The sequence below is a fragment of the Homo sapiens genome, chromosome 1 (genome assembly GCF_000001405.40).
Source record: "Homo sapiens chromosome 1, GRCh38.p14 Primary Assembly".
NCBI lineage: Eukaryota > Metazoa > Chordata > Mammalia > Primates > Hominidae > Homo > Homo sapiens.
This window is the reverse complement of record NC_000001.11, coordinates 170,564,869-170,574,667: the sequence shown is the minus strand read 5'-3', so window position 1 is coordinate 170,574,667 and position 9,799 is coordinate 170,564,869. Positions and strand designations below refer to the sequence as shown.

Below are 9,799 nucleotides of genomic sequence, written 5' to 3'. Positions count from 1 at the left end.
GTATCTCATTGCTGTTTTGATTTACATTTCTCTAATGAAAAGTGATGAGCATTTTTTCAAATGTTTGTTGGCTGCATAAATGTCTTCTTTTGAAAATCGTCTGTCCAAATCCTTCACCCACTTTTTGATGGGGTTGTTTGTTTTTTTCTTGTAAATTTGTTGAAGTTCTTTGCAGATTCTGGATATTAGCCCTTTGTCAGATGGATAGATTGCAAAAATTTTCTCCCATTCTGTAGGTTGCCTGTTCACTCTGATGATAGTTTCTTTTGCTGTGCAGAAGCTCTTTAGTTTAATTGGATCCCATTTGTCATTTTTGGCTTTTGTTGCCACTGCTTTTGGTGTTTCAGTCATGAAGTCTTTGCCCATGCCTATGTCCTGAATGGTATTGCCTAGATTTTCTTCTAGGGTTTTTATGCTTTTAGGTCTTATATTTAAATCTTTAATCCATCTTGAGTTAATTTTTGTATAAGGTGTGAGCAAGGGGTCCAGTTTCAGTTTTCTGCATATGGCTAGCCAGTTTTCCCAACACCATTTGTTAAATAGCGAATCCTTTCCCCATTGCTTGTTTTTGTCAGGTTTGTCAAAGATCAGATGGCTGTAGATGTGTGGTGTTATTTCTGAGGTTTCTGTTCTGTTCCATTGGTCTGTATATCTGTTTTGGTGCCAGTAACATGCTGTTTTGGTTACTGTAGCCTTGTAGCATAGTTTGAAGTCAGGTAGCATGATGCCCCCAGCTTTGTTCTTTTTGGTTAGGATTGCCTTGGCTATACGGGCTGTATTTTGTTCCGTATAAAATTTAAAGTAGTTTTTTCTAATTTTGGGAATAAAGTCAATGGTAGCTTGATGGGGATAGCATTGAATCTATAAATTACTTTGGGCAGTATGGCCATTTTCACAATATTGATCTTTCCTATCCATAAGCATGGAATGTTTTTCCATTTGTTTGTGTCCCCTCTTATTTCATTGAGCAGTGGTTTGTAGTTCTCTTCGAAGGAATCCTTCATATCCCTTGTAAGTTGTATTTCTAGGTATGTTATTCTCTTTGTAGCAATTGTGAGTGGGAGTTTGCTCATGATATGACTGTTTGTCTACTGTTGGTGTACAGGAATGCTTGTGATTTTTGTACAATGATTTTGTGTCCTGAGACTTTGCTGAAGTTGCTTATCAGCTTAAGGAGCTTTTGGGCTGAGAAGATGGGGTTTTCTAAATATATAATCATGTCACCTGCAAACAGAGATAATTTGACTTCCTTTCTTCCTATCTGAATACTCTTTAGTTCTTTCTCTTGCCTGATGGCCCTGGCCAGAACTTCCAATACTATGTTGAATAGGAGTGGTGAGAGAGGGCATCCTTGTCTTGTGCCAGTTGTCAAAGGGAATGCTTCCAGCTTTTGCCCACTCAGTATAATATTGGGTGTGAGTTTGTCATAAAAAGCTCTTATTATTTTGAGATATGTTCCATCTGTACCTAGTTTATGGCGTGTTTTTAGCATGAACGAGTGTTGACTTTTATTGAGGCCTTTTCTGCATCTATTGAGATAATCATGTGGTTTTTGTCATTTGTTCGATTTATGTGATGGATTACATTTATTGATTTGCATATGTTGAACCAGCCTTGCATCCCAGGGATGAAGCTGACTTGATCATGGTGGATAAGCTTTATAATAGGCTGCTGGATTCGGCTTGCCAGTATTTTATTGAGGATTTTCACATCAATGTTCATCAGGGATATTGACCTGAAATTTTCTTTTTTTGTTGTGTCTCTGCCAGGCTTTGATATCAGGATGATGCTGGCCTCATAAAATAAGTTAGGGAGGATTCCCTCTTTTTCTATTGTTTGGAGTAGTTTCAGAAGGAATGGTACTAGCTCCTCTTTGTACCTATGGTAGAATTTGGTTGTGAATCCATCTGGTCCTGGGGTTGTTTTTGTTGGTAGGCCAACCAACCATAAATAATTACTGCCTCAATTTCAGAACTTGTTATTGGTCTATTCGGGGATTCGACTTCTTCCTGGTTTAGTCTTGGGAGGGTCTATAAGTCCAGGAATTTATCCATTTCTTCTAGATTTTCTAGTTTATTTGCATAGAGGTGTTTATGGTATTCTCTGAGGGTAGTTTGTATTTCTGTGGGATCAGTGGTGATATCCCCTTTATCATTTTTTATTGTGTCTATTTGATTCCTCTTTCTTTTCTCTTTATTAGTCTGGCAAGTGGTCTATCTATTTTGTTAATCTTTTCAAAAAACCAGCTCCTGGATTCATTGATTTTTTTGAAGGGTTTTTCGTGTCTCTATCTCCTTCAGTTCTGCTCTGATCTTAGTTATTTCTTGTCTTATGTTAGCTTTTGAATGTGTTTGCTCTTGCTTCTCTAGTTCTTTTAATTGTGATGTTAGGGAGTCAATTTTAGATCTTTCCCACTTTCTCCTGCGGGCATTTAGTGCTATAAATTTCCCTCTAAACACTGCTTTAGCTGTGTCCCAGAGATTCTGGTATGTTGTGTCTTTGTTTTCATTGGTGTCAAAGAACTTATTTCTTTCTGCCTTAATTTCGTTATTTACCCAGTAGTCATTCAGGAGCAGGTTGTTCAGTTTCCATGTAGTTGTGTGGTTTTGAGTGAGATTCTTAATCCTGAGTTCTAATTTGATGGCACTGTGGTCTGAGAGACTGTTTGTTATGATTTCTGTTTTCTGTTGTTTTTTGTTTGTTTGTTTGTTTTTTGCATTTGCTGAGGAGTGTTTTACTTCCAATTATGTGGTCAATGTTGGAATAAGTGGTATGTTGTGCTGAGAAGAGTGTATATTTTGTTTATTTGGGGTAGAGAGTTATGTAGATGTCTATTAGGTCTACTTGTTTGAGAGCTGAGTTCAACTCCTGAATATCCTTGTTAATTTTCTGTCTTCTTGATCTGTCTAATATTGACAGTGAGGTGTTAAAGTCTCCCACTATTATTGTGTGGGAGTCTAAGTCTCTTTGTAGGTCTCTTAAGAACTTGCTTTATGAATCTTGGTGCTCCCGTATTGGGTGCATATATATTTAGGATGGTTAGCGCTTCTTGTTGCACTGATCCCTTTACCATAATGTAATGCCTTTCTTCGTGTTTTTTGATCTTTGTTGGTTTAAAGTCTATTTATCAGAGATTAGGATTGCAACCCCTGCTTTTTTTTTTGCTTTCCATTTGCTTGGTAAATATTCTTCCATCTCTTTATTTTGAGCCTATGTGTGTCTTTGCACATGAGATTGGTCTCCTGAATACAGCACACTGATGGGTGTTGGCTGTTTATCCAATTTGCCAGTCTGTGTCTTTTAATTTGGGCATTTAGCTCATTTACATTTAAGGTTAATATTGTTATGTGTGAATTTGATCCTGTCATTATGATGCTAGCTGGTTATTTTGCCCATTAGTTGATGCAGTTTCTTCATAGTGTCGATGGTCTTTACATTTTGGTTTGTTTTTGCAGTGGCTGGTACCAGTTTTTCCTTTCCATATTTAGTGCTTCCTTCAGGAGCTCTTGTGAGGTAGGCCTGGTGGTGAGAAAATCCCTCAGCATTTGCATTTGCTTGTCTGTAAAGGATTATATTTGTCCTTCCCTTATGAAGCTTAGTTTGGCTGCATATGAAATTCTTGGTTGAAAATTCTTTTCTTTAAGAATGTTGACTATTGGCCTCCACTCTCATCTGTCTTGCAGGGTTTCTGCAGAGAGATCTGCTGTTAGTCTGATGGGCTTCCCTTTGTGGGCAACCCGACCTTTGTATGTGGCTATCCTTAACATTTTTTTTTTCATTTCAACCTTGTTGAATCTGATTATGTGTCTTGGTGTTGCTCTTCTCAAGGAGTATCTTGTGGTGTTCTCTGTATTTCCTGAATTTCAATTTTGGCCTGTCTTGGTATGTTGGGGAAGTTCTCCTGGATAATATCCTGAAGCGTGTTTTCCAACTTGGTTCTATTCTCCCCTTTCCTTTCAGGTACACCAATCAAAGGTAGGTTTGGTCTTTTCAAATAGTCTTATATTTCTTTCAGGCTTTGCTTATTCCTTTATTTCTTTTTTCTCTATCCTTGTCTTCATGCTTTATTTATTAAATTGATCTTCAATCTCTGATATCCTTTCTTCCACCTGATCAGTTCAGCTATTGATACTTGTGTATGCTTCATGAAGTTCTCATGCTGTGTTTTTCAGGTCCATCAGGTCATTTATGTTCTTCTCTAAACTGGTTATTCTAGTTAGCAATTCCTCTAGCCTTTTATCAAGGTTCTTAGCTTCCTTGCATTGGGTTAGAACATGCTCCTTTAACTCGGTGGAATTTGTTATTACCCACCTTCTGAAGACTACTTCTGTCCATTTGTCAAATTCATTTTCCGTCCAGTTTTGTTCCCTTGCTGGTGAGGAGTTTTGATCCTTTGGAGGGGAAGAGGCACTGGTTTTTGGGATTTTCAGCCTTTTTGCGCTGCTTATTTCTCATCTTCGTGGATTTATCTACCTTTGTCCTTTGCTGTTGGTTACCTTCGGATGGAGTTTTTGCATGGTCATCCTTTTTGTTGATGTTGATACTATTGCTTTCTGTTTGTTAGTTTTCCTTCTAACAGTCAGGCCCCTCTTCTGCAGTTCTGCTGGAGTTTGCTGGGGGTCCACTCCTGACCCCGTTTGCCTGGGTATCACCACTGGAAGCTGCAGAACAGCAAATATTGCTGCCTGCTCCTTCCTCTAGAAGCTTCATCCCAGAGGGGCACCTGCCAAATGCCAGCTGGAGCTCTCCTATATGAAGTGTCTGTCAACCCCTTCCAGGAGTTGTCTCCCAGTCAGGAGGCATGCGGGTCAGGGACCAACTTGAGGAGGCAGTCTGTACCTTATCAGAGCTCGAGCGCTGTGCTGGGAGATCTGTGATGCTCTCTTCAGAGCCAGCAGTCAGGAACATTTAAGTCTGCTGAAGCTGCGCCCACAGCCGCCCCTTCCCCCTGGTGCTCTGTCCCAAGGAGATGGGAGTTTTATCCACATTCCTCTGACTGGGTCTGTTGCCTTTCAGAGACACCCTGCCCAGAGAGGAGGAATCTAGAGAGGCAGTCTGGCTACAGCAGCTTTGCAGCACTGTGGTGGACTCCACCTGGTCCTAACTTCCTGGTGGCTTTGTTTACACTGTGAGTGGAAAACCCTCATACTTAAGCCTCAGTAATGGCGGACGCCCCTGCCCCCACCAAGCTCAAGCATCCCAGGTCAACTTTAGACTGCTGTGCTGGCAGCGAGAATTTCAAGCCAGTGGATCTTAGCTTGCTGGGCTCCATGGGGTTGGTATCCACTGAGCAAGACCGCTTGGCTCCCTGGCTTCAGCCCCCTTTCCAGGGGAGTGAATGTTTCTATCTTGCTGGCGTTCCAGGCACCACTGGAATACAAAAAAATATTCCTGCAACTAACTCGGTGTCTGCCCAAACAGTTGCCCAGTTTTGTGCTTGAAATCCAGGGCCCTTGTGGTGTAGGCACCTGAGGGAATCTCCTGGTCTGTGGGTTGCAAAGACCTTGGGAAAAGCGTAGTATCTGGGCAGGATAGCACAGTCCCTCAAGGCGCAGTCCCTCATGGCTTCCCTTGGCCAGGGGAGGGATTTCCCTGACCCCTTGCACTTCCCAGGTGAGGTGATGCCCCACCCTGCTTCTGCTCGCCCTCCATGGGCTGCACCTACTCTCTAACCAGTCCCTGTGAGATGAACCGGGTACCTCAGTTGGAAATGCAGAAATCACCCGCCTTCTGCGTTGGTCTCGCTGGGAGCTGCAGACCAGAGCTGTTCATATTCAGCCATCTTGCCCCTACCAATCTAGTTTTAAAATGTAGATAAAAGACTAGAAAGAGCCATACACACTGCTTTTTCCCAAGGCCATGGGATTTGGTGGACAAAAGGTTTCAAGTCTATTTGAGCAGTTAACAAGGTATGCAAAGGGGCAAAATAATCCTGGTGTCTTTTTCAGTGTTGCTCTGTTTCTAATAGGACTTGAAGAAGGAAGGCATTTGCTAATGGAAATAGAGCAGTGATTCAAAGTTAAAACCATTTTTCATGACATAGCAATAAAGAATAATATAACGCTGAAGAAATAACATTAAAACCCAAGGCTTAATAAGAAAACAACTATGAAGTTTTTCCACAGATAGACAAGAGTCACCTGAAAAATGAGAGACTAGAACCTCCTGAACAAAGATTTGTAGGCCAAAGAGTAAGAAAGATGAGACTCTTCCAGGTAAGCAGCCTGTGTGTGTAGTCAAGGAGGCCCCCTGGAGGGAGGGGTGGAATGCCAGCTGCCAGGTGACAGATGATGCAAATTCTTGGACATTACACTGAAATCTAGGACTTCCATTCACTGTTGTTTGATGAAAAGCTCTTCTGTGTCCACCATCTGATTCTTCCTGGACCTGGCTTCTTTGTTAAGACTCATTCAGTCACCTATGTCCTGTGCTCTGCCCTTATGTCATTCTGGACTCTTCTAATCTCTTTTGGGCTGAGTACAACATGCTTTTTTTTTTTTTTTTTTTAATTCTCATTGCTTTCTGATTTTCTGTTTAGGAAAAAATAAAGGCAAATAGGAGAGGAATGAGAATGGGCGGAGAGCAGTGAGGAGCATTAGACCTGCCTATAATCACAGGTGCCTCATTAGGACTGATTTATGTTTGACCAACCTAGAAAATGTTTTTACCAAAACAATCCAGTCCTAATTCATAGAGCTGTGTAGTCTTTCACCCTCAATCTGACTTAAACTAAAAACACGATTTAAACTCTGTAACTCACACATTGCCCAAGGCAAGGATTTAAAGTGAGAGTCAAGTGTGCAGTCTTTGACAAAATATACTTTCTCACCCCCTGTCACTTCTCCAGTTACCAAATCTTTTCCAACTTGTCTGGGCCTTCTGTGGCTGGAGCATAAATCAGGAGAAATGGGGGTGGAAATGGCTTTTTTTTCTTCAAAGCAACAGGTACCCACCTCAACGGAGCATTAGAAATCCATAATGGTACAGGACACATGGTTTCCATTATGCCAACGGAAAGCCTGTCCTAGCTGCTCTCGACTGTCTCTCTGGTGCACGACATCACAGCCTCTTCTTTGGAGAACTCGATTTTTAAAAATCTGGAGAAGTTCTTGGATTCAAATCAAAAAGGGATCTTTTAGGCTCTCAGATCTAGTTTCTTATTTGTATATATACAGAGAGAAAATGCTGATGGTATGGAGGCTTGGCATAGTCTCTGAGAGAGATTCTGTTAGAGGATTACTGACTTTAAATATCACTATCCTTTTGGGATTTCAGACTCCTCTGAGGCTGTTCACAGCCTGAGCCAGAATGGTCACGAGAGGCCTGGGAACAAACATGACATGCAACCTGAGGCAACAGCAATATGTTTATGACTTTGTTTCCTTCTCTTTTTTTCTTATTTTTTCTCTCTTTCCCTTTTTCTGTCCTTCCCTCTCTGCCTCCCTCTTCCTTCTTTCCTTCTTCTATTCCTCCCTCCCTCCTTACCGTCTTTTTTTCTTCTTCTTCAATACCTTTATTATTGATCTTTTGACTTTTCTTTTTGGGTTTTATAGTATATTCAGCATGCTAGCCCAGTGGAAAAGTTAATAAATATTTCATATTTTTAAAATGCCTTATTTCACTCCTTGTTTTTCCTAAGATTATTATTATTTTTACTCTGCTACTACTTATATCAGTGGGGAGTAGCAATTGAGGTTCATAGACAAATGGGTCAGCTCATATGTATGATAAATGGATCTTTCTATGCCATTGAGAATTATCTAGTAAGTAGGAAGACCAAGGACTCATGAGAAACCCATTCATCAAATCTTCTCACAGTGAAATGCCAAGAGATGTATGCGTAAGGCCTGTCCTGCAAAGAATTACAAGCTAGTGGATGGGGTAAAAACAGAAGAGAACCAATGTTTATTGAGTATCAAATAGTCACTAATCCTTTCAGTAAGCATACATTGAGTATCTACTATGTGCTAGGAACTCTTCTAGGTGCCAAAGATACAGCAGTGAACACAACAGACAAAACCTGACCGACTTACTTTGTAGTATAAACCCTAGGCATTTTTTTATGTAACTTTATTTGATACTCCCAAGAACTCTCTAAACTAGTTATTATTATTCTCAGTTTAAACATGAGAAAACAAAACTACAGATAGGTTAAATTACCAGTTTGTTAGGGAGAGAGCCTGGATTTCAAGCTAAATCTGCCTGACTTTAAAGCCTACATGCTTTCTATTACACCACATGGTCGTTAGAGATTAATGAAATCCTAAGAGATACCTATAGGGCAAGACAGAGTAGGGTAATTGCCAGTTGAGAAGAATCCAGATGAGTGATGCCTGGCAAAGGGCTGAGGCAGCCCAGGAGAATTTCTTGGAGGCCCTGAGTCTGAAGGATAGATGGAGCTTTGGCAAGAGAAGAGATAAAACAGGGCATACAAAGGTGCACAGACAGGTATGTCCATGGCTCATTTAGGAACAATGAGTAGAAATAGCTTAAATGAAAAGACATGGTCTCACAGGGGAGAATAGGGAGACAGAGAGAAGGGTCTGGGACAAATTGTGGTGTGTCTTAAACACTAGGGTTTGTACGGCATCCTGGGGCAGTAGAGAATGTGGAAGATGGGACTTAGACATTACGACAGTAAATGTCCTACTGCTTTATTACTACTAAAAGATGTTCCTCTTTCAAAGTTATCATTTACTTATTTGTGAAAGAGGATAATCTTGGACATATTTTTAGGTGACTTCAAAAATAACTAATAAAAACATTTGTAAATTGATGGACAAAGGACCAGCATATTATTAAATTTTCATGCTGGATATATTTTTTAATATCGATCAGATTCTTTTTTGGGCAGGCTTACTGTTCATACAACTGGATACATGAGTATTAAGCCAATAAAACGGGTTGAAGAATGTGAGAAATTTATCTACTACATGAAGTCATTGTTTCATATTTTTCTGAGGCTCCCAGTGGACTCTGAACACCAGATTTTTGTTACTCTCTGCTTTCCACATTGTACTTTCCCATGAGGAGATTCTTTTGATATCAGCATGGGGTATATGGAATTCTTTGGGGGTGAAAGGTGTACTTTCTATTATAGTAACTTTCAATTTAACTAGTGCATTTCCATGCAAAAACAAAAAACAACAACAAAAAAAAACTGCTATCAATGCAATAAAATTTGAAGGGACACACCGGATCTGTGTTTTAATTTTATTCTGGTGGGGTAAAGTTGCTGAGTAAATTTGTTGAGCAGCTGGAATTATTAAAGTCACACTAACATTGAAAAAAGAAGGTCCTGACATCAACATACTCGAAGATCTGAATAATTTTGGTCAGACTCCAGTTTTGAAATCCTTTGCTCTGACTTGTTCCTTCCTTCCTTTCCTTCTTTCTTCCTTCCTTTCTTTTTCTTTCTCTACCTTTTCTTTCTTTTTCTCTCTCTCTTTCTTCCTTTCTTATATTTTCTTTCTTTCTCTCTCTTTTCTTTTTCTTTTTCTTTCTTTCTTTCTCTCTTTCTTCTCCTTCTTTCTTTTCTTTCTCTCTCTCTCTTCTTTCCTTCCTTCCTTCCTTCCTTATTCCCTTCTCTTTCTTTCTTTCTTTCTTTCTTTCTTTCTTTCTTTCTTTCTTTCTTTCTTTCTTTCATCTCTCTCCCACACTGATTTGGTTTCTGGCTTTTCTCCTTTTTCTAATGAACCCAATTCTATGTGGATTTTTAAATTTCGCCTGCTATAGTGCAAACAGTTCCTGTGGTATAACCTTTAGGTCAATTCTTCAAGTATTATTTGCTTGGTCTGTT

The 9,799-nt window shown here is 40.0% G+C and overlaps 1 long non-coding RNA gene across 1 annotated transcript; it reads right to left on the bottom strand.

The window, feature by feature from the left end:
* Nucleotides 1-4,037: 4,037 nt before the first annotated feature.
* On the bottom strand, nt 4,038-7,150 carry LOC124904453 (uncharacterized). The gene is made up of 2 exons (XR_007066728.1): nt 6,954-7,150; nt 4,038-6,530 (listed from the first exon to the last, which is right to left on the bottom strand). It is a non-coding gene; the product is annotated as an uncharacterized LOC124904453 (long non-coding RNA).
* Between the last annotated feature and the right edge of the window lie 2,649 nt (nt 7,151-9,799).